General features: G+C 38.8%; 1 protein-coding gene across 1 annotated transcript in view, besides 1 other annotated feature; it reads left to right on the top strand.

Annotated features, from left to right (window-relative positions):
- SLC35F4 (solute carrier family 35 member F4) overlaps positions 1–24838 on the top strand; it is a 419262-nt gene that overhangs the window by 61749 nt on the left and 332675 nt on the right. The window lies entirely within an intron of this gene.
- Positions 17252–17421: an enhancer, noted in NCBI's record as "experimental_34475 CRE fragment used in MPRA reporter constructs". NCBI's record gives its function as "activates a minimal promoter by MPRAs in K562 erythroleukemia cells, with activity observed for the non-introgressed 14:58370815 variant allele {active_cell/tissue: K562}" and the evidence as "EXISTENCE:reporter gene assay evidence [ECO:0000049][PMID:34662402]".

Raw genomic sequence — 24838 nt, 5'->3', positions numbered from 1 at the left:
TCAAAAGGTAAAATAACTGCCCAAGATAATACAGCTAGCATGTTGTGGAAGGAGGATGAAGCCCAGGTTTAGCCCTTTTCTGATCCTGGTTGCCTGTCACGAGAATGACTTCCAGTGTCTTGATACTACACCTGCCCTGCCCTTTCCTGCCTTCTTATCCCTCTGCATGGTACACAATATTGACTTGGATTCTAATAGACAATAGCCAGCTCAACTCTGGATTTTGTCTGGTTTCCGTGCTATCATTGCCATGGGTGCTAGTGAACTTAACCACTATCTGAGCATTTACCAAGTGGATGTGTGTTCTGGTTCAGTGAGATGAACAATCTCCTGAAATAAACATTGTAACAAAAATGTGAAAAGAGTACAAAGTTTGCTCTGAAGATGGTGAGTGTCTAAAATAATAGGAGAACACATTAACATGAAATCATCTTCAATTGTTCTTCCTTTCAATGATGTGTACGTATGTTTCATGTAAAATATCACTGTTCATTTGTTATAAAAAGCCATTTTTAAAATAACAAATGTAATCTATACATTTGATGTAAAAATGTTCCTAGAGGCCTCAGCTATGGCTCTTTCTTCTCAAGTCTCTCAATGTGGAAGGGATCCTCCAAATACTAAAGCTTATTGGGCTAGAAGGTGTCCCATTAGGGGTTATAGACCTAATTAGAATACATTACTATATTTATTTCTATAGACTGGTTAATTTTACACCTGTCTTTTCTTGACCTGAGAGCCAAGGCTGCTCATTAGTTAGGGGGAGAAATGTTGACTGGATTAGTTGGACAGAGTCCGCCAAAGGCTTCCAATCCCATGTGAAGTAATTGGTCTGATTTTTATATATATTCTTCTTTTTTGAGACAGGCTCTCACTCTGTTGCCCAGGCTGCAGTGCAATCGTGTGATCATTGCTCATTGCAGCCTTGAGCTCCTGGGCTCAAGCAATCTTCCTGCCTTAGCCTCCTGAATAGCTAGGACTACAGGGGCATGTCACCATGCCTGGCTAATTTTTTAGTTTTGTAGACATGAGGTCTTACCATGTTGCTCAGGCTGGTCTCCAACTCCTGGGCTCAAGTGATCCTCCTGCGTTGACTTCTCAAAGTGCTGGGATTACAAGCTTGAGCCACTGCAACTGGCCTGATTTTTATGTATATTCTTATTAATGTTTCATATCTGACTTGGGAATTAGGAAGTCAGAAGAATTTATAACCAAAGGCAACGCAGAGTAAACCCACTGGCAGCACTGTAATTCAATTGAACTAGCATGGTTAAATAAATTTAAGTGGCTTTTGGAAGATACACGTTTCATACAGAAAGAAACGTGAGTTTTTAACTGAAGATAAGGAAACAACGTGCATATATTGTGTCTCTATCCATCTCACAGGTTTTGTGGCAGATTGAACAGGGAGGTTTACTGCTCATGGTAATGAGCAAACATGAGAGGAGGCAAGGCATGTGAAAGGGATCTGAAAGGTGGCAAAGTGGTTTATAGAGGTACAGAATGACCATGTCTAAAAGAATCACCACGTCTAAAAGAATCACCACTTTCTCACTGAGCCTTCTTCCACATCAAAGTTGGCCCTCTGTCAAAATTGCTCTCCATCTTCAGAAAGAATTTCCAAAGCTCTCCTCTCCCTCAGCCTTCCATGACCCTCCAAAGTGCTGTGAAGTCTCTGCCTGGGCTTCCCATTGGCCTTCTCTGCACATCCCGGCTGTCTGTTATTTCATGGCTTGGTGTTGTAGTTACTTGGGAATGAACTCTGTCCACGCTCCCCCACCCCCAGATCATATAATTGAAAACTCCTTGATCTGGTGGTCTTAGTTACTGGTCCACCCCTGGAATATAAAATCCCTGTCCTCAGATTCGCCTGTGGAAGAATACAGCTGCTTTTTCTTCCCCGCTTTCCCACAACTCCCTGCCTGCAGAAGTGAAGTATGATGGGAAATCAGAAAAACAAAGAGTAGATAATTTACTCTGAGACTCACACTCGCCCTGGCATGTGTTAACTACTCCTTAAAACCCTTTCCCTAACTGCTTTTTCCTTTGAAGTGTCGCAAGTTAGAAAACTTCCAAATGCTTTTCTACTTCATAGCAAAGTATAAGGAGTAGGTTATTGTCCCTTGGGCCATGAGTGTAATCCTGTATTAGTTAGGGCTGCTATAATAAATAAATCTCAAACATTTAGTGGCTTAACATAGTAAAAGTTTATTTCTTCACCATATACCAGTCTGATGTGTGTAATACTGTTCAGCAGGGAGTTGTCTTACTTAGGGTAATTCAGACTCTTGAGCTCCTTCCATCTCATGGTTCCTCTGTCTTCTGCATCCAAACCATGGAAAATCCTGGAATGGAACATATCAGTTCTACTAACATTCCATTGGTAAGAGCCAGTTACGTGGTCACACCTGCATGCAAGAAGTAGTAGGAAATAAGTCTGTGGTTGAACAGTCACCTCCTGGCAACAAATGCACACTACAGAAGGGGAAATATAAATTTTTGGGGTGTTAGCCAGCAGTTTCTGTCACACTATGCTATCTTAAGTGGGTGAAAACTATGGTGTTAACTTACTTAACCATCTCCTAATTGACTCACTCCAGCCCCGCAAGCAGTTTCCAAAGCCGTCCTTGGGATAGGCTGGACCCCAATCCTGTCTTATTTCTACCACAGCACCTAAGTCACGCCTCTGGAACTTTGGCAAGTTCTATAGAAGAGTCAGCAGCAGGTGTGGGTCAAGGTCCCAATTCACTTCCTGCAGCTGTACCATCCCTTCCTCGTTCTGCAAATTTTCTCTAGGTAATTACAAATTTGACAAGGAATTTGTTTGTTTCTTGCCCTTTTGGCTTTGAGATGGTAAATAAATTTTTATAAGACCATGTCAACTTCAAATTTCTGGTCTGACATGTAAGAAGCTTGGAAGTCACCACTCCATCCTAACTAGTTAAAATCTAAACAGACTAAAAGTCAACAGATCTCTGTCTTAGATCTGACAGAGAAGTGAGGTCACAGGGAAAACCACCGCCTCCCAAATTGGAAAGATAGGCAGATACAGAGAGTCACAACTTACCAGAGTAGGAATCTTCAGAGGAGTCAGTACTGGGGTAGGAAAACTGAACTGTAATTCATGAATTGCTGGAGGTTCAGGGTGGCCAAGTCTGAGAGTTAAAAACTCCAGGGAGACCGAGTCATAGAAAGGCCCCTACACTGTTGTGAGTTTTGCCTCCAGGAGCTCGATCAGGTTCTCACAGTAAGTATCAGAGAAAAATCCTCTCATGCTTCTGGCAAAGGCAGAGGGAAAGCAACCATTTTGGGATGTGCCAGAGCATTCTGTTCTTCTTAACAAGGCCTGCCTTTAGGATAAACTATTATACCAGATCCTCAACTGCTGAGCCTAATCTTGCTGGGGAAAGAAAAACATCCAACCACATCCAGCTCCAGACTTCCACATAGGGGAAGAGAAGTCCCTAACTCCAGCCCCTTCTAGCCATCCTGTCACAGCTAAAGGTGAGGAGGGGATGTGTGTGGGGGACTGAGAAGCACTGGTAAGGTTCATAATGCAGGGCCACAGGCTTACTAACAGATTAAGGCCTAGTCATAGAGGGTGGAAATGGATTGAAAAACTATCTGGTGCTATGCTCACTAACTTGGTAACGGGATCCATATCCCAAACCTCAACATCGTGCAATATTCCTATGTAACAAACCTGTACATGTACCCCCTGTATCTAAAATTTAAATTGAAGTAAAAATGAAAATGAAAATGAAAAAAAGACCTAATCACAGGACTATAGAATGCTTCCCCACCCCACCCCCACATTACCACTATATTACTAAAGGCTGATTTACTGTTGTTCTTTTTTCTCAGTTCATCATGTCTGCCTTTCAGTAAAATTTACAAGTCACATTGAAGGCAAAAAAGAAGAGACTGAACAAGAATCAGGGCTAGGCTCAGATATGGCAGAAATGTTGGGATTATCAGACAAGGAATTAAAAAAAACTGTGATTAATATGCTAAAAGGTTTATTGAAAAGGTAGACAACATGCAAGGAGAAATAAAAAAAATGTAAGCAGAGAGGGCTGGGTGTGGTGACTCACGCCTGTAATCCCAGCACTTTGGGAGGCCGAGGTGGGCAGATCACAAGGTCAGGAGTTCGAGACCAGCCTGGCCAACATGGTGAAACCCCATCTCTACTAAAAATACAAAAATTAGTGGGGAGTGGTGGTGTGCACCTGTAATCCCAGCTACTCGGGAGGCTGAGGCAGGAGAATCACTTGAACCAAGGAGGTGGAGGTTGCAGTGAGCTGAGAGAGCACCATTGCACTCCAGCGTGGGAGCCTGGGAGCCTGGGCAATAGAGCAAGACTCCGTCTCAAAACAAAACAAAACAAAACCCCCCAAAACAAACAAACAAACAAAAACAAAACCAGAGAGATATAAATTCTAAGGAAGAATAAAAAAGTAATAATGGAGATCAAAAACTCTAACATAAATGAAGAATGACTTTGATGGGCTTATTAGTAGACTGGACATGGTTTGGAAAAGAATTCCTGAGCTTGAGGATTGACAATAGAAACATCTAAAATTTAAAAAAGGTTTTAAAATAATTTCAACTTTTATTTTAGATTTCAGGGGTACATGTGCAGGTTTGTTACATGGGCATATTACATGATGCTAAGGTTTGGGATACAAATTATCCCATCACCCAGGTAGTGAGCCTAGTACCCAATTCCAAAACTGAAAATTAAAGAAAAAATAAAGACTGTAAAATACAAAACAGAATATCTAAGGACTATGGGACAACTACAAAAGTTGTAACATATGCATGATGGGAATACCAGCGGAGAAGAAGGGGAGAAAGGAACAGAAGAATTATTTGAAGCAATAATGACTAAGAATTTCCCCCCAGTTAATGTCAGATGCCAAACTACAGATCCAGGAAGCTCAGAGAACACCAGGCAGGATAGATACCAAAAAGATCCTACACTTGGGCATATCATACTTAAACTTCAGAAAATCAATGATAAAGAAAAATATCTTGAAGCCAGAGGAGAAGAACTGCTATAGTTTGAATATCCCCACCAAAACTCATTTGAAATTTAATTGCCATCATAACGGTGTTGAGAGGTGGGATCTTTAAGAGCTGATTAGGTTGTGATGGCGCTGCCCTCATCAATAGATTAATGGGATTATTGCAGGAGTGGATTAGTTATCTCGAAACTGGGTTTGTTATAAAAATGAGTTCAGCCCCCTTTTCTGTCCTGTCTTTCATCCCTGCTTCCCCCTTCCATTGTTTCACCATGGGACGACCCTTGCCCGCTGCTGGTACTCTGCTCTTGGACTTCTTCACCTCCAGAACTGTGAGAAATAAATTTCTTTTCTTTATAAATTACCCATTTGTGATAGTCTATTATAGCAACAGAAAACGAACTAAAACAATTGATAACAAGAAGCAGGGTTGTTGCTGTAGCAAATATCTGAAAATGTGGGAGTGGTGTTGGAACTTGGGGATGGGTAGAGGCTAAGAATCTGGAGAAACAGGCTAGAAAAAAGCCTGTATTGCCATGAACAGATCATTTAGGGTGATTCTAGTAGGGTTCAGAAGAAGACCCCAGAACTGGAAAAAGTCTGAATCTTCTTAGAAATTACTCAAGTGGTTGTGATCAAAATATTGGTAGAAATCTGGACACTAAAGCCCATTCTGATGAGGTCTTACATGGAAATGAGGAACAAGGTACTGAACACTCAAGTAAAGGCCATCCTTGTTATAATGTGGCAAAGACCGTGGCTGAAATGTGTCCATGCCCAGGGGCTTTATGGAAGGTAGAATTTAAGAATGATAAAATAGTATATCGGGTGGAAGTCACATCTAAGTAGCAAAGCATTCAGTCTGCTGCATGGCTACTTTTAACCACATATAGTGAGATGTGAAGAAGATAGATGATTTTAAATGAAATTTATGATGAAAAGAGAAGCAGAATGGAAATATTTGGGAAATTTGAAGCCTTGCCATGTAAAGCATAAAAGAGTATGCTTAGGAGGGAAAATTAAGGGTGTGGCCAAGTGACCATTTGTTAAAGAGATTACCATAGATAGAAGGTAGCCAGGTGCTCTTCATCAGGACGTTGGGAGAAACGCCCTGAAGACACTTGAAAGATCTTCGAGAGTGCCCCTCTATCATAGGCCTAGAGCTCTAAAAGGCAGAATAGTTTCAAAGGATGGGCGTAGCTTTGTGCTCAGGGCTGCTTCAGAACTCTGTTTCCCACTTTCTGGTGCAGTGCTCCTCAGACACCCCAGCTATGGTTCGAGTGGCCTCAGGTGTTAACTCAATCCAGTGCTCCAGAAGGTACAAGCAGTAAGCCTTGGCAGCATCTATGTGGTTTTGTCTGCAGGCTTAAAGAATGCAAGAGCTGTGGGGGCATGGTTTCCTCCACTTGGGTTTCAAAGGATGCTACAGACCACCTGGGGACCCAGACAGAGACTTGTTGCAGGGGCAGGGTTGCTGCAGAGAGTCCCTTCTAAGGTAATGCCTAGTGGAGTCATGGGAGTAGGGCTGCCCCGAGATCCTAGAACTGTAAGGTCACCAGTGTGCAACTCCAAGCCATGAGAGCTGCTGGATTGAGCCCAGTAAAGCCATAGGGGCAGGGCTACTTGAGACCTTGAGGGCCTAACCCCTAAACCAGTATATCCAAGATGTGGGACATGGAGTGAAAGGAGATTATTCTCTAGCTTTAAGACTTAATGTTTTATTGCCATTGTAATAGTGCTGAGGGGCAGGATCTTTAAAAAGAGATTCCTTCCTGAATGGATTAGTGCCATTATTGCTGGAGTGGGTTAGTTATTGAGAGACTGTGGTTTTTTTTTTTCTTTTTATGAGGCGGAGTCTCGCTATGCTGCCCAGGCTGGAGTGCAGTGGCGCGATCTCGGCTCACTGCAAACTCCGTCTCCTGGGTTCACGCCATTCTCCTGCCTCAGCCTCCCGAGTAGCTGAGACTACAGGCGCCCGCCACCATGCCCGGCTTATTTTCTGTATTTTTAGTAGAGACAGCGTTTCACTGTGTTAGCCAGAATGGTCTCAATCTCCTGACCTTGTGATCTGGCCACCTCAGCCTCCCAAAGTGCTGGGATTACAGGCGTGAGCCACCATGCCCGGCTGAGACTGGGTTTTTTATAAAAGCAAGTTTGGCCCCCTTTTCTGCTCTGTCCTGTGTGACTGCTTCTACCTTCTTACCTTTCACCACGGGATGACCTGTGACAGATGATGGTGCTATACTTCCCAGTCTCCAGAATTGTGAGAATATTTTTTTCCTTAAGTTACCCACTGGTGGTATTCTCTCATAGCAGCATAAAACAGACTAAGACAATATCTGATCTATATAGGAGCAAAGATAACTACATCCAACTTCTCTTTAGGAGCCATACTTGCAAGAAGAGAGTGGAGTGAAATATTTGAAGTGTTCAGAAAATATCCAACAACCTAGATTTCTGTACCTTGTAAAATTATCCTTCAAAAGTGAAGGAAAAATAAACACTTTCTCAGATAACAAAAAATGAGGAAATTTATTGCCTGTTGACCTGCCTTGCAAGAAATGTTAAAAGAAGTTCTTCAGAGAGACAGAAAATGGTATAGATTAGAAACTCAGATGTACATAAAGCAAGGAAAAACATTGGAGAATGAATACATGAGGGCAAAACAGAAGCATTTAAACAATTCCAAATTAATATAACAGATAATTTGTTTAAAATAGCAGTGTACTCGATTATGTATGCTTATGTGTGTATATGTTTATATATTAATATAAGTGAAATGAATGACAACAATGATTAAAGGAAGGGCAGGAGGAATTAATGTTATTTTGTTATTATGCTGCGATAGATTACACCTTCTTCTCAAATACTAAACCTGTAAAGTAGTATAGTGTTATTTGAAAGTGGACTTAGATTAGTTGTAAATGTATATTGCAAACTCTATGACAACCACTAAAAAACGTTGAAAAAAATAATTGGTGTGCTAAGAAAGGGGCGGAAATAAAATAATATAAAATGCTTAATTGAAACCACAAAAGGCAGAAAAAGTATAGAAGATAAAAGTAAGAATAAAAAACAAGGGTAAGAAAGAGAAAACAGTAACAAATATGGTAGATGTTAATCTAACTATATCAATAATCAACTTAAACATCAGTGATCTAAGTACACCAACTAAAAGACAGAGTTTATCAGAGTGAATTAAAAAAAAGACCCATCTTTATGTTGTCTTCAAGAAACACACTTTAAATATAAAGACACAAAGTAGGTTAAAGGAAAGGGATTGAAAAAGATATATCATACTAACAGTAATGAAAAGAAAGTGGTAGTGGGTACATTAATTTTCCACAGAACAAACATCAGAGCAAAGAAGGTTATTAGGGATAAAGAGGGGCATTACATAATGATAAATGGGTCAATACTCAAAAAAGACATAACAATCCTTATTGTGTATGTGTCTAACAACAGAGCATCAAAATATGTGAGGAAAGAAACCGATAGAACTTCAGGGAGAAATAAGTGAATCCATAGTTATAGTTAAAGACTTTAATATTCATCAGAAATGGACAGATCCAGCAGGCTGAAAATTAGTAAGAATAGATTTGAAATCATCAGCACCATCAGTCAAGTAGATATAATTGACATCTATAGCCTATTCATCCAAAAACAGCAGATTTCACATTATTCTAAAGCTCACATGGAATATTCATGAAGATAAGCCATATTCTGGGCCATAAAGCACAGCTTAACAAATTTAAGGGAATAGAAATCATGCAATGTCTATTGTCAGACAATAATGGAATTAAACTAGAAATCACCAACAGAAAGATGCTGGAAAAACCCAAAATATTTAGAGGTTAAACATCATACTTCTAAATGACACATGGGTCAAAGGCAAAATCTCAAGAGAAATTTAAAAATATTTTGGGCTAAATAAAAGCACAATGTACAATAAAATAAAAACACAATATACCAAAATTTGTGGCATAAAAGTAGTTTCTAAAGGGAAATTTGTTGCTTTGAGTTGCTTATATTAAAAATTAATAAAAATATAAAAGTCAATAATCTACGTTTCTACCTTAGCAAATTAGAAAAAGTGTGCAAATTAAATCCAAAGTAAGCAGGAGAAAAGAAATAATAAAGATTAGAACAGAAATTAGTGATACTGAAAATAGGAAATCAATAGAGAAAATTAACCCAAAGCTGGTTCTTTGAAAAGATCAATAAAATTAGTAATCTTCTAGCCAGGCTAAGAAAAAAGATGTGCAGATTACTAATAACAGAAATGAAAGAGAAAATATTGCTACAACCTCATAAACATTAAAAGGATAATAAAGAAATATTATGAACAACTTTATTTGACAACCTAGATGAAATGAACTAATTCCTTGAAAGACACAATTTGCTGAAATTCATACAACAGGAAATAAACAATCTGATTAAGCCTATACCTGTTAAATAAATTTAATCAATAATTAATAACCTTCCAAAATAGAAAGCATTAGGCCCAGATGTGTTCACTAGTAAACTCTACCAAACAGTTAAGAAAGAAATTAAGCCAATTATCTACAATCTATTTCAGAAAATAGAAGCAGAGGAAATACTTCCTAACTCATTCTGTGAAGCCAGTATTACCCTAATATCAAAAATCAGACAAAGACATTATAAGAAAACTATATGTATCTTTCATAAACATAGATGCAAAAATTCTCAATAAAATAATAGCAAATTGAATCTAACAATGTATAAAAAGAATTATACGCTATGACGATGTGGGATTTATCCCAGGTTTGCAAGGATGGTCCAATATTTGAATATCAATTAATGTAATCTGTTACATCAACAGGCTAACAAAGAAAAACATCACATGATCTCATCAATAGATGCAGAAAAGCAGTTGACAAAATCCAACACCCATTCATGATAAACACTCTCAGCAAAGTAAAAATAGAGAAAAACTTCCTCAACTTGATAAAGAACATCTACAAAAAGCCTACAGCTAACATCATACGTAACGGGGAGAGACTTGAATCTTTCTCACTAAGATGAGGAACAAGGTGAAGATGTCCCCGCTTACCACTGCTTTTCAATATCATACTAGAAGTTCTGGCTAATGCAATAAGGCAAGTAAAGGAAATCAAGGATATATAGATTAGGAAGGAAAAAAAATTTGTTTATAGCTTTTTTCTACATTATTGTCTATGTAGAAAACAAAAAAATTGGCAAAAAGCAAAATAATGAAACCCCAAACCCCTGGAACTTATAAGCAATTATAGCAAAATTACAGAATACAAGGTTAACATACAAAATTTAATCACTTTTCTATATACCAGCAAATGAACAAGTAGAACTTAAAATTAAAACACATTACAATTTACATTAGCATCCCCAAATAAAATACATAGGTATAAGTCTAGTAAATAGATACAAGGTTTACATGATGACAACCACAAATCTCTGATAAAAGATAACAAAGAAAAACCAAATAAATGGAGACATATTCCATGTTCATGAATAGGATGACTCAGTATTGTTATAATGTCACTTTTTGTCCAACTTTAGATTCAACACAATCCCAATAAACATCCCAGCAAGTTATTTTATAGATATTGATGATTCTAAAGCTTATATGAAGAGGCAAGAGAGCCTGATTATCTGATAAAATATTGAAGGAGAAGCACAAAGTTGGAGGACTCACATTACCCAACTTCAAGACTTACTACAAAGCTATAGTAATCAAAACAGTGTGTATTTGGCAAAAGACTAGACAAATAGTTCAATGGGGGCAGAATAGAGATCTGAAAAGTAGAACCACATAAATATAGTCAACTAATCTATGACAAAGGAGCAAAGATAGTCTTCGCAACAAAAGATTCTAGAACAACAGGACATCCATTCACAAAAAATTGACTCCAGACACAGATCTTACACCATTCATAAAAATTACTTCAAAATAGATTATAGAACTAAATCTAAAATGCAAAAATATAAAACTCCCAGATGACAACATTGGATAAGGCCTAAGTGACCTTGGGTATGATGATAATATTTTAGGTACAACACCATAGGTATGATACATGAAAGAAGTAATTGATAAGCTAGGCTTCATTAAAATTAAACACTTCTTCTCTGCAAAATACAATGTTAAAAGAATGAGAAGACAAGCCAAATTCTAAGAGAAAATATTGCAAAAGACACATCCGATACAGGACTGATATACAAAATATACAAAGGATTCTTAAAACTCAGTAATAAGAAAATGAAGAATCTGATAAAAAAAATAGGCAAAAGACTTGAACAGATACCTCACCAAAGAAGACATACAGATGGCACGGAAATATACGAAAAAATGTTGAAGATCATATATCATTAGGGAATTGTAAATTGAAACAACAGTGAGATACTACAACATACCTATTAGAATAGCCAAATTCCAAAGCACTGATAACACCAAATTCTGAACTCTCATTCATTGCTGACAGGAATGAAAATAGTAAAGCCATTTTGGAAGACAGTTTGGCAGTTTCTTACAAAATTAAAAATACTCTTACCATATGATCTAGGAATTGCACTTCTTGGTGTTTACCCAAAATAATTGAAAACTTATGTCCACATAAAAATCTGCACACAGATGTTCATAGCAGCTTTATTCATAATTGCCAAAACTTGGAAGCAACCAACATATCCCTCAGTAGGCAAAGAGATAAATGAACTGTGTTACATTCAGACAGTGGAATATTATCCAGTGGTAAAAAATATGAGCTATCAAACCATGGAAAGACATGAAAGAACCTTTGATGCATATTAATAATGAAAAGAAACCGATCTGTGTGTTTGTGTGTGTGTGTGTGTGTGTGTGTGTGTGTGTGTATTTCCAACTGTATGACATTTTAGAAAAGAAAAGGCAACACCGTGGAGATAGGAAAAGGATCAATGGTTGCCAGGGGTTGAAGGGGAGGAGGGGTAAATTGGTGGAGCATTGAGGATTTTTAGGGCTATGAAACTGTTTAGTATCATATTTCAGTATGATACTAAATGGGGATACTTGTTACTATATATTTATCAAATCCCATAGAATGTAGAGCACCAAAAGTGAGCCGTAATGTAAACTATGGATTTTGTATAAAAATATGTCAACATAGGTTCATTGATTATAACAAATATACCACTATGGGGTGGGGTGCTGATAGTGGGGGAGGTTGTCCATGTGCAAAAACAGATGGTGTGCAGGAATTCTCTGTCATTTTCACTAAATTTGCTGCATACCCAAAACTGTTCTAAAAATAAGGTTTATTCTCAGAAATAACACCAAACATCTACCATCATCTGATCTTCCACAAACCTGACAAAAACAAGCAATGGGGAAAAGATTTCCTATCCAATAAATGGTGCTCAGAAAACTGGCTAGCCATTTGCAGAGAACTGAAACTGGATCCCTTCCTTACACGTTATACAAAAATTAACTCAGGATGGATTAAAGACTCACATGTAAAACCCAAAACTATAAAAATCCTAGAAGAAAATCCAGGCAATACCATTCAGGACATAGGCATGGGCAAAGACTTCATGACTAAAACGCCAAAAACAATGGCAACAAAAGCCAAAATTGACAAATGGGATCTAATTAAACTAAAGAGCTTCTGCACAGCAAAGGAAACTATCATTAGAGTGAGCAGGCAACCTACAGAATGGGAGAAAATTTTTGCAATCTATCCATCTGCCAAATGGCTAATATCCAGAATTTACAAGAAACTGAAACAAATTTACAAGAAAAACACAACCCCATCAAAAAGTGGGCAAAGGATATGAACAGGCACTTACCAAAAGAAGACACTTATGCCACCAACAAACATATGAAAAAAAGCTCAACATTATTGATCATTAGAGAAATGCAAATCAAAACCACAACGAGATACCATCTCTTCAGAATGGTGATTATTAGAAAGTCAAGAAACAATAGATGCTGGCAAGGCTGTGGAGAAATAGGAATGCTTTTACACTGTTGGTGGGAATGTAAATTAGTTCAACCATTGTGGAAGACAGTATGGCAATTCCTCAAGGATCTAGAACGAGAAATATCATTTAACTCAGCAATCCCATTGCTGGGTATATACCCAAAGGAATATAGATCATTCTACTCTAAAGACACATGCACACATATGTTTATTGCAGCACTATTTACAATAGAAAAGTCATGGAATCAACCCAAATGCCCAGCAATGATAGACTGGATTAAGAAAATGTGGTACTTATAAACCATGGACTACTATGCAGCCATAAAAATGAATGAGATCATGTCCTTTGCAGGGACATGGATGAAGCTGGAAGCCATCATCCTCAGCAAACTAACATGGGAACAGAAAACCAAACACCTCATTTTCTCACTTACAAGTGGAAGTTGAACAATGAGAACACATGAACACAGAGAGGGGAACATCACACACCAGGGCTTGTTGGGAGGTGGGGGTGAGGGGAGGGAACTTAGAGGACGGGTCAATAGGTGCAGCAAACCACCATGGCACACATATACTTATGTAACAACCCTGCACGTTCTGTACATTTATCCCAGAACGTAAAATAAAAAAAAATAAGGTTTATTATTATTTTTAAAAGTATCCTGGTTATGCATGTATCTCTTTCAGCACCTAGGATGGTTCCCACAGTAGTTCTAACAGTGCCTTATTCATACAGGTTCTGCAAATATGTGTTGAATGAATAGGCAAGCAAACACTAATGGCTTAACAGTGTCCAAAGATGTATACAAAAGAACTGTTTCCAAACAGTTCTTTTATTAATTAACCTATGCCCCTCAAATAAGGAGTATAGGGATTGTTAATGCTAATATAAGATGGGAACCACATTTTAACCCATGTTTTTGGAATTTAATTCACATAAAGTAATGCTTTGATGGGTTTTCCTTAGTCACTATTTGCTAAGAAGAGGATTTCTGTTTTCCTGGCAACTGAAGTGGATAGTTTCCTTCTCCCCTGCCCCAAAGTGGATACAGGCACACTTCAGAAATATATATTGTGGGTTTGATTCCAGACCACCACAACAAAGTCAACATTTTAATGAAGTGAGCCACACAGATTTTGTTTTTCCAGTGCATATGAAAGTTATGTTTACACTAAACTGTAGTCTATAAAGTGTACAATAGCATTATACCTAAAAAGTGCATACTTTAAAAAATACTGTATTGCCAAAGAAATGTTAATGATCATCACTTGAGTCCAGGAGTTTGAGGCTGCAGTGAGCTATGATTGCACCACTGCCCCTCAGCCTGGACAACAGAGCAAGAGAGATTCCCATATCTAAAATCAAATAAATAAATCTTGCAAATTATTCCATAAAGGGTCACAAATGCAACCAATACATACTAAAGTGATTATGGTTTATCAGATACTTTTTATTGATAGAAGAAATGCCTGAAGAATATTGGTTATTGGAAAGCAAAGGGAAGGTCAAAGAGACACTGTGGCTTTTGGGCTGGATCCTGTTGTATCCGGGAAGCATTTAATGTGTACAGCTCAAATCTGTGGAAACACATACATGATTACTTGAATAAGTACGATGCTTTGATCATTGGACGTATTTTACCCTGCAATGTAATGACCCTTTCCAAATACATATAATTTTTATCATGACACACAGCTTAGGAATATTTGACAATATTATGAATAAGCTTATAGTTGAGTTTGCTCGGATGTTAGCCATAGATATCCAATGTAAGATACCTGCATGCAAATTGATACAACTTTTCAGTAAGGCAACATTTATTGAAAATTTGAATATGCATACTTTTTAATCCAGCAATCCCACTTTTTGGAATTTTTCCGTAGAAATTCTCCCACAAATATGTAAGGATATTTGTACAAAGATGTTTCCTCAAGCATTATTTATAGTGGTAAATAATAAGAAACAATTCAAATGTCCTGTTAGGGCACTGGTTAAATAAGTCATGCAACAATCATAAGACAGAATACCAAAAAACTTAAAAAAGAATGGGGCATTTCTGTAGTTACTGACTGATACAGAGAGATGTGAAAGCTATGCTATTATGTGAAAAGAGCAAGTGCAGTACAATATATGCAGGCCAGTCTTATACATTTCTCTATGTGGCTGCACAGTCTCAGAAAAGGCCTGAGAGGCCATATACCAAATTGTAAGTGGCAGTCATCTTTAGGGTATGGTGGACTTCTACCTTCTGTTTTTATTATTTCTGCACTCTCTGAATTTTCAGCACATGTATTGTATTACTTTTGTGATAAAAAGTTTTTTGAAAGTATACCCTGTCAAGGTTTAGGCTGAGTTTTGGTCACCAGGGGGATGCACACTGTCCTCATGCCTACAGTGCTAGACGTGTGTTCTGGTTCCGTTTCTGTGTCCTCTTTCTGATCTCCTGCCCTCATGCTGTGCGGAATGCCCTGGGTACAAGCCTCCTTCTTACCAACTCATTGTCAGGGCTCTGTCTTTTGGAGTTTGATGCCTTTGCTTCAAACCCTTTTAAACTTGCTTTCCCTTCTGCCCATACCCTTTCCCCTGTTCTTCCATTTTCATCATGCTCCTGTCTCCTGTAGCTGGCACATCCTCTCTGATCTGCTCTCCACTGTCTTTTTCATGTTGACCTCCTTTTCTCTCTAAAGATTCCATCTTGTAAAAGCATCTTTCTTTAACTGCTATTGTTTTCAGTGGCCACTCACTCCAGACAGGCTAGAAAACCCTCCCTCATCTGCTGGAGCTGAGTCTGAGCACACCTGCTTTCAGATGCTGGCATTCACACCACCAGCTAAAAGTACTCTAAGGTTCAGTAGTTTTGCAATAAGTTCCTGACTTTCTAACTCTGCATGGCCACAGAGGCAACTCAAACACTGTTACAGGCAGAATGTAATCTGCTAAGTGCCAGAGGACTAGCAGGATTGAGGTAACCAGCCTCCAAGATTCCCCTGCAGATCCTGACCTCCTGGTATTCACACCCTTGCATGGTTTCCTTCACACTGAATCAGGGTTGACCTTTATGACTGATAGAAATACTGTGGAAGAACATTGCATGACTTCTGAGGCTAGATCATATAAGACATTGCAGCTTCACCCTTGGTGTCATGGGCAGCTCATTCCATGTGGAAAACCAGCCATTATATGAGGACATTCAAGTAGCCCTGTGGAGAGGCTCACATGGAGAGAAACTGAGGCCTGCTGCCGACAGCCAGCACCAACTTGGCAGGCATCAGAGTGAGTCACCTTCGTAGCAGATCCTCCAGCCCCAGTTAATAATTCAGATTGGTAAACTTCCAGTGGATGTCTAACTGCAACTCATGAGAGGCTCAAGCCAAAACCACCTAGCCAAAGACACGCCCAAATTTTTGACCCACATAACATGAGATTATGAGATAAAATTATTCTTATTGTTACATACCACTAAGTTTTGGGTTGATTTGTCCTGCAGCATGAGATGAATAAAACAAAAGTCATGTCATAAAGACACAAAATAGCCTTTTCTTTGTGGTCTTTCTATATTTGCTCCTTGCAAAGTTGAAGCTACATGGAGAAGTAATGAAAAGCATAGGTTTTTGGGATAGAGTCAGAGCAGATCCCAGCATCTGGGTTGGTGCTGGGATCTGCACCATCACTTCCTAGTTTTGTGACTTTGGAATAAGTGCTTTAACTCTGAGCCTCACTTGCCTCATCTTTAAAATGGGAGAGAATAACGGTATCCACCTAGCGGGGCTGTGGATTGAAGATGATACATGTAAAAAAATTTATCCTAGATCCTGACACAGAAAATCCTAATAGTGTCAACCTACAAAAAGGCAAAGAGATCCAAAGCCCACTTCAATGTTTCTCCCATTAACTCTTTTCAGATATAGATAAAGTTAACAGAAATTTGAAATCAGTTTGACTTTGCTTTGGTGTTAAACTTCTTGCTCATTCACTGTCTTGCATTTGTGTGAGTATCCCAATCTTGGAGTGGAACATGGGAGTCCATGTAATTGCTCTGACCATTACATCAACTCAAGAGAAATCTGAGAATACCGTTTGCTTCCTTTATGGATAACAAAACTGTCCAAATTTTCATTAGGAAGTTGAGAACTTTCTCAACAGACCGAGCAGGAGAGAGGGTTATGGTTGTTTTGGTTGTTGTTTTTTCTTCTACCACCATAAATGCACATTAGTATAACTTTACCACCAATAGATACACCTTCCAGAGATGTTGACAGTTTTATGGTGAAATGAATAATTCAGAGCTTGTGCAGACCAGGCTTAAATTGTTAATGGATCTATCAGTGTGACAAATTGATGCAGAGTTGCATCAGAATATTAAACTACTAAATATTTATAGTTATTCTTTGTTCAGTTACTGAGTGATTCCACTTTCCCAAGCTAATAACAAGCTCTAAAAGCAGCACTTTTTTTCTTTTCTTTGCAAGAATATTCTTCAATCTCTAAGCCAGTTAATTAAGTTGTTTAGAGATAGAACTTAAGAAATTCTTGTCAAGTGACAGAATCAAAAGATTTTTTGAGATAGATATGCTCAGGAAAATCTATTGTTGGGTCATAAGAAGGCCTGTGGAAATGAGTTTTAAACGACCTGTTAGAATAGATCTCCAATCTCACTGATAAGCTTTCATTTTATTCAGAGTAAATATGTTTTTACATAATTTTTTCTTGTCAGAGATTTCTAGATTTCTTGCTATTGCACTTTAGACTTTTGTTAATAAATCTTGTCTTATGACAGTGGACTAACACTTAAATGAGACATTAATTAGATTAAATTAGGTTTTCATGATGTATTGGGCTAAACAGTTTCTATAAGGCTGCCTTCTTCATATCTGATGATGGATCTTGAGGTCTGCAGGGCAGGCAGTTGGGAAGGGAAGATGGATATTGACAAAGATTCTCCCCTTGATCAAACTGTAATTAGGCTCCTCTGAACTTTCTAAACTATGTTCTGACTTCTGAGCTTCCATGTTTATCTTTACATTGTCCAATGTTATCAAGAATCTTGCTAAGTCAGTTTAGCCAAAATCTGATCAGTTTCCTAATCTTCCCACATATTCCCCAGGTGAGGTCTGGCTTGCCTTTAGCAAGAATTCTGATAGCCAGAATCCTCTCTTACTCCTGATGTTTTCTCTTAAGAATTTTCCATCTGTTGATCCCCTTTCCCCTGTTCCTTGGCTACAAATTCCCACTTTTCCTTATTGTGTTGAGAGTTGAACCTGATCTCTCTTCCCTACTACAAAACCAAGGGTTGAAGATGAAGCATAAAGACAGAAAAAATTATTTACTCAGCAGTGTACCAGATGCTCAACACATTGCAGCAAACTAATCAAAGTCTCTGCCCTCATGGAGCTTGCCTTCTTTTGGGGGAGAGAAAGACAATAAAAAAACCTAATAAACATGTAACATATGAGGTAGAAATATATACTAAAATAATAAGGCAGGGTGAGGAGGTAGAAAAACGTCAGCAAAGATGTGTTGTGTAGAAAGGGTGGTTTGGGAAGGCCTCTCTGATGGGGTCCCATTTAAGAAGACTTGAAGGAAAGGAGAGAGGGAGTGATGCAGGTATCAGGGAGGAAGAGCTTTCCATGCAGATGGCACAAAATGTGAAGGCTCATTAGCATTCAAGAGTAAGTAGGGGATTACAGCAGTCTATGCTGATTGATTACTAGGCATCCTGTTAAGCACTTTACATATATCATCTCTTTTAATTCTAACATTTATTGCTACAGTTAATGGTGCTATGAATATTTTTATACACATGATTTTTTTCTTCATTTATTTGAATCGTTCCCATAGGATAAGTTCTTGGGAGTAGAATTTCTTCTTCTTCTTCTTCTTTTTTTTTTTTTTGAGACTGAGTTTCGCTCTTGTTGCCCAGGCTGGAGTGCAATGGCGTGATCTCGGCTCACCACAACCTCCACCTCCCAGGTTCAATCAATTCTCCTGCCTCAGCCTCCCGAGTAGCTGGGATTACAGGCATGCGCTACCACATCTGGCTAATTTTGAAGTTTTAGTAGGGACAGGGTTTCTCCATGTTGGTCAGGCTGGTCTCAAACTCCTGACGTCAGGTGATCTGCTCACCTCGGCCTCCCAAAGTGCTGGGATTACAGGCGTGAGCCACCGCGCCCAGCCAGAGTAGAATTTCAAGTTAAAGGATATGAACATTTTTATGACCCTTGATATTATCACCAAATTGCTTTCTCAAAAGGACTGGACAAACAATTTAGATTGCCACCAGAGATATCTGAGTACAGTATAGTAAAGAAGTATTGGATGGCATGTTTTGATTTGAATGTCTACACTCAAAGGGACAGTTTAATATTTCCCCAAAGTAAAGGACAGAAAGGTGTTGGCACCTGAACTTTTGTGCTTACTGATGCCTTCTTTAAGGCAAATTTGCTTCCAGGGAACATTTAATCAAAATCCACAGTATTAAACTCACAGCAGTCTCTCAGAGGTTTCATGAGAGACAGTACTGAGTACTGAGTGGAGGTCAGAAGACCTTCACTGAAATTCTGGCTTTGCATCTTATCAGCTGGGTGGCTTAGGGTTAGTCTCTTAACTATGCTGAGACAGTTTGCTCATCTGTAATATGATTTATACTTGGTAAGGGTATAATGAGAATAAAATGATATAGCATACGTGGAAGCATTTTCTAACATTGGAGCACTCTACATATATTCGCAAATATTATTTATTAGGCATTCTCTTTTAACATTTTATTTATTTTTCTTCAACTTTTAGGTTCAGAGGTACATGTGCAGGATGTGCAGGTTTGTTAGATAGGTAAATGTGTGCCATGGTGGTTTGCTGCACAGATCATCCAGGTATTAAGCCCAGCATCCATTAGCTATTCTTCCTGATGCTCTCCCTTCCCCTACCCCACCCACACTACCCAGGCCCCAGCGTGTGTTGTTCTCCCCCAATGTGTCTATGTGTTCTCCTCATTCAGCTCCTACTCATAAGTGAGAACATGTGGTGTTTGGTTTTCTGTTCCTGCATTAGTTTGCTGGCAATAACGGCTTCCAGCTCCATCCATGTCTCTGCAAAAGACAGGATCTCATTCTTTTTTATGGCTGCATAGTATTCTATGTTGTATATGTACCACATTTTCTTTATCCAGTTTATCATTGATGGGCATTTAGGTTGATTCCAGATCTTTGCTATTGTAAATAGTGCTGCAATGAACATATGCATGCATGTATCTTTATAACAGAATGATTTCTAATCCTTTGGATATATACCCAGTAATGGGATTGCTGGGACAAATGGTATTTCTGCCTCTAGGTCTTTGAAGAATCGCCACACTGTCTTCCACAATGCTTGAACTAATTTAAACTCTCACCAATGGTGTAAAAGCACTCCTTTTTCTCTGCAACCTCACCAGCATCTGCTGTTTTTTGATTTTTTAACAGCCATTCTGACTGGCGTGAGATGGTATGTCATTGTGGGTGGTTTTGATTTGCATTTCTTTAATGATCAGTGATGTTAAACATTTTTTCATATGTTTGTTGGCTGCATGTATGTCTTCTTTTGAGAAGTGTCTGTTCGTGTCCTTTGTGCATTTTTTAATGGGTTTTTTTTCTTGTAAATTTGTTTAAGTTCCTTGTAGATTCTGGATATTAGACCTTTGTCAGATGGATAGACTGCAAAAATTTTCTCCTATTCTATAGGTTTCCTGTTCACTCCGATGATAGTTTCTTTAGCTGTGCAGAAACTCTTTAATTAGATCCTATTTGTCAATTTTTGCTTTTGTTGCAATTGCTTTTGGCATTTTTGTCAGGAAATCTTTGCCTGTGCCTTGTTAGGCATTCTCTGTCATTATCTTTTAAACCAATGTGAAGCTCAATGTTTTTATTAAAATATTTAGCCAATGTTTTTCTGTGTGGCTTCCCAATATGGAGTCTCTCTTCTAGAAAGAGAGGGGCACTTTCCTTGGGGAACCACCTCCCCAGGTCCAGGTTGTGTGTGGGAAGCTGATTTAGTGTGGGGGCCAGAGGTGAGCACATGACCCCGACCTAAACAAATTGGTGTATCACTCCACCCTCTGACTCCAGTGATTGGTTCAGGGGTGGGCCTGTGACAGAATCAGAAAGAATCCTCGGATGTTTGCTGGAGCTGTGGGACAATGTCCTTCTTTTCCTGCCTGGAGATGAGGTTGAAAGTTCTGCCACTGAGAGGTGAAGCCAGCTGGACTTCCTGGGTCCCCAGTGGGGCCTTGGAGAAAGTCTCTGTAGCTAGCAATGGGATTGTAAAATGCACCAAACAGTGCTCTGTAAAACGCACCAATCAGTGCTCTGTAAAATGCACCAATCAGTGCTCTGTAAAATGTACCAATCAGTAGGATCCTAAAAGTAGCCAATCGCAGGGAGGCTTGGGAAAAAGGGCACTCTAATCGGACAAAAATGGAACATGGGAGGGGACAAATAAGGGAATAAAAGCTGGCCACCCTAGCCAGCAGTGGTAACCCACTTGGGTCCCCTTCCACTCTGTGGAAGCTTTGTCCTTTCGCTCTTCACAATAAACCTTTCTACCACTCACACTTTGGGTCCGTGCCATCTTTAAGAGCTGTAACACTCACCGCAAAGGTCCACGGCTTCATTCTTGAAGTCAGAGAGACCACGAACCCACCGGCAGGAACCAACTCTGGACACACCACCACCCAGGACAAAAACCCAAGAATGCCACCAAAGCAAAAGTGGGGCCCAGAGACAGGGAGAGGAAACCTCAGCAAACAGCTTTATCTGAGCCCTTGAGTTCAGCTGTGCTCCATTCAGCCTTGGGTTTGCTAGTTTCACAAGCCAATGACATTCTTTTCGCTTAATCCAGTTTCAGACGGATATTCTGTATCCGTCTGAAGTTAAATGATTTGGAATTGTACATATCTTGTACACTTGTGTAGCACTTTATGGTTCTCAAAGAGTTTCACATGTTGTGTGCTTATTGGTTCCTCACAGCTTCTCTGTGAACTGAACTATGCTAGAAGGTGCTATTATGCAATTTCAAAGGTGAAACACACCTGGAGCAGTACTGCTGGTTATGAGCCAGTTTAACACTCAGATTAGACCTGTTGCTTCCTCTCTGGGACCTGGGGCAAGTTACCAACTTCTCTGAACCTCAGACTTCTTATGTGAAAAACGGGAAATAATGCAGGAAATGGAGATTTTTCAGTGGATTAAATGAGATGATGAGTATGAAGTGCTTCGTGTAATACGTGGCAATGGCAGGTAGACAGTGAGAAAAGGATAACTAGTATTATAATTTTCATAAAATCTCAGAGTTAGCAAATGCGAGGGCTGTGATCAAAGCCTGTTGCTTCTCATACCACACAGCACTGCTTCTCCTCCTGTCATGTGCTGTGTCCCCACGGGCACCACAGACTCAGTGAGTGCCTGACTTAGGAATTTTGAGAGCTTAGGAGTAGTAGAGAGGTGTTTTGATGGCAACTAGGAGCAAGATAGGAGCAAAATTCACTCTGGAGGCATGATCCTGCAGCTCTTCTGGAGACTCCAACCCCTTTCCAAACTGGCTTTAAGCCATGAATTCTGATTTACATAAATATCGAAAGATATTCCTAGAAAACCTATTAAGAAAATACATGACAAAGATTAACCAGACCATTAAGTCAACATGCGGGAAATGTATTAAAAAACTGGATATTTATTTCCATATTGAATAAGTTGTTAAAAAGCAATAGGGCTCTTACTGAAGTTGCTGATCTCATTTCTCTGTCCTTTAATATTACAGAAATGTTGACATGCAAATTGAGTAGCTGGAACAACTGTCAAATATTTTAAGTGCTTGTTGCCTCACTTGAAGTGGATGAATAGTTGCATCATATGCCTATATATTAGAAGAGACAAGATGTTTTCATGGGTCTGCTTCCTGCATCTCTGTTTTCTTCTAGTTTTTGTCCAAGTAATGATCTGATCAAAGCACCCACATACCCTCCTGGTTAACATAGTTATTAACTTTCTATTTCCAAGGTAATAAAACACCCCAATACCACCTTTCTTAAACTCAGACAGAAAATCGTTGTATGTCCTAAACCTAATTGTATGCCATGAATGCATGTGTTTTAACCTGCAGCTTTCAAGCACACTGATGTGGTGCCATAGCATATAAACAGAAAATGCAGAGATGTAACAATCTTATGAATCAGATATGCCTAATTTTGTTATTTAGATAATTCATTTTTATTCTGCCACCTTGTTAGTCTAGCAAACTAATCTTGTTTTGCTAGTCTTGGTTGAAGTGTCTGGAAAACCTGACTATATAAATACAAGTTGTTACTTTTGAGTGGCTACAGAGTTTCTGTTTAAAACAATCACTCACTAGGGATGCTTCTGGAAACATGACAGGGCATGGAGATTACTCATGATTTTGCTGCTACCAGTTTCATTGCTACCTGAAGAAGATATATTCAAAGATATTTAAATTTCTTAGCACTTCAGTAGTCATCTGTTTGCATCCAGAGTCAATATTATTTTTCATATTGGTATAAATACCTGGAAACTTCTAAATGAGACTCACTGGAACTCATTCCAAAACCCAAATATTCAGAAGCCTATTTTTGTGCTCTGTTTATAGATGATACCATTTGTGGGGGCTACATTTAGAAGCAAGGCAGTGATGCTCTGGGTAACTGCTCTCTGGAGATAATTTGTGGTTCAAAAGCAGTAACCAAATTATTTTCCATTTGAGAAATTATTTCTTCATTAGCAAAAGGGATGCACAGAGTAACCACCTTTTAAAATACCATCTCTTTCGTGGACTAAGTGTGTTTTCACTGAGCCCCAAGAGGCCTGGTTGGAAGTAGAGGTGGGACTGCTGGATCGTGCATCACTGATCTGTGAGCCACACATTGGGGTGGAGGGATGACTGACGGTATCACTGCCTTCTGCTTGGACTCAGGAGTTTATAGTTCAGTCGCTTTGTTCTCTCCTTGCAAAGGAAAATTTTATCATAAAGGATGGTTTGTGTACTTGCCCTAAATCCTTTTTTGGTTCTTCTTGTTTTATGACCACAGTGCTTTACTGTAGATTTTCTCCCTGATGCCTTCTCTTTGTCATTTATCATGCTGACAGTTTAATAGAATTGCAGGCCTGGCAGATAGTGCTAGGATGTCCTTTCCCACACAATGCTAAGGAGCTTTAACCCTATCAGGGAGTCTCTTGACACACTATTGCAAGAAATGGTGCTAACAGTCCTGATGTGACAAAGTAGCAACCAGAAAGAGAGTAAAAGTGTACATACGTCAACTTAGTATCTCAGTGCTTCTGGTGAAGTTTATCAAGAAAAATTCCTTAGAATCCCTTGGGGACCAATATGTAGGTGACTATGTATGTGTATTTAGTTAAATTCATTTAACTCACAGTAGGGGATGAAATGAATTTTCCATAAGTACCTTAGTATAGTTTATCTTCCAGATAACTGAAAGAAGAGCAGGGTTTAACAGGGCAGAATGAATGTGGAAAAAAGTTATGGCCTAATCAATGAAAACAATTAAAGCTACTATTAATGAAGAATTTCCCAAATCCCATGCTGGGATTGAAGTGTTTTACATACATTATGTAATTTAATTCTCTTGTCAACCTCTTTAGGCAATAACAATAATCATAAACAAACATTTGTTGAGTTTTACTATATTCCTGGCACTGTGCTAAACACTTTACAGGCATTAACTCATTTTTTCTTAATGACTTTATCTCTTAAATATCCCTTCAATATCTATTTACTCCTGCTAGTCTCTACTGCCACAACCTTAGGCCAGCCCACCAACAATATTTCAAAACTTTTTTTTACATAAGATAAAGAGC

The sequence above is a fragment of the Homo sapiens genome, chromosome 14 (genome assembly GCF_000001405.40).
Source record: "Homo sapiens chromosome 14, GRCh38.p14 Primary Assembly".
In the NCBI taxonomy this organism is placed as follows: domain Eukaryota; kingdom Metazoa; phylum Chordata; class Mammalia; order Primates; family Hominidae; genus Homo; species Homo sapiens.
The sequence above is the reverse complement of the archived record's forward strand: the minus strand, read 5'-3'. Positions and strand labels throughout refer to the sequence as shown.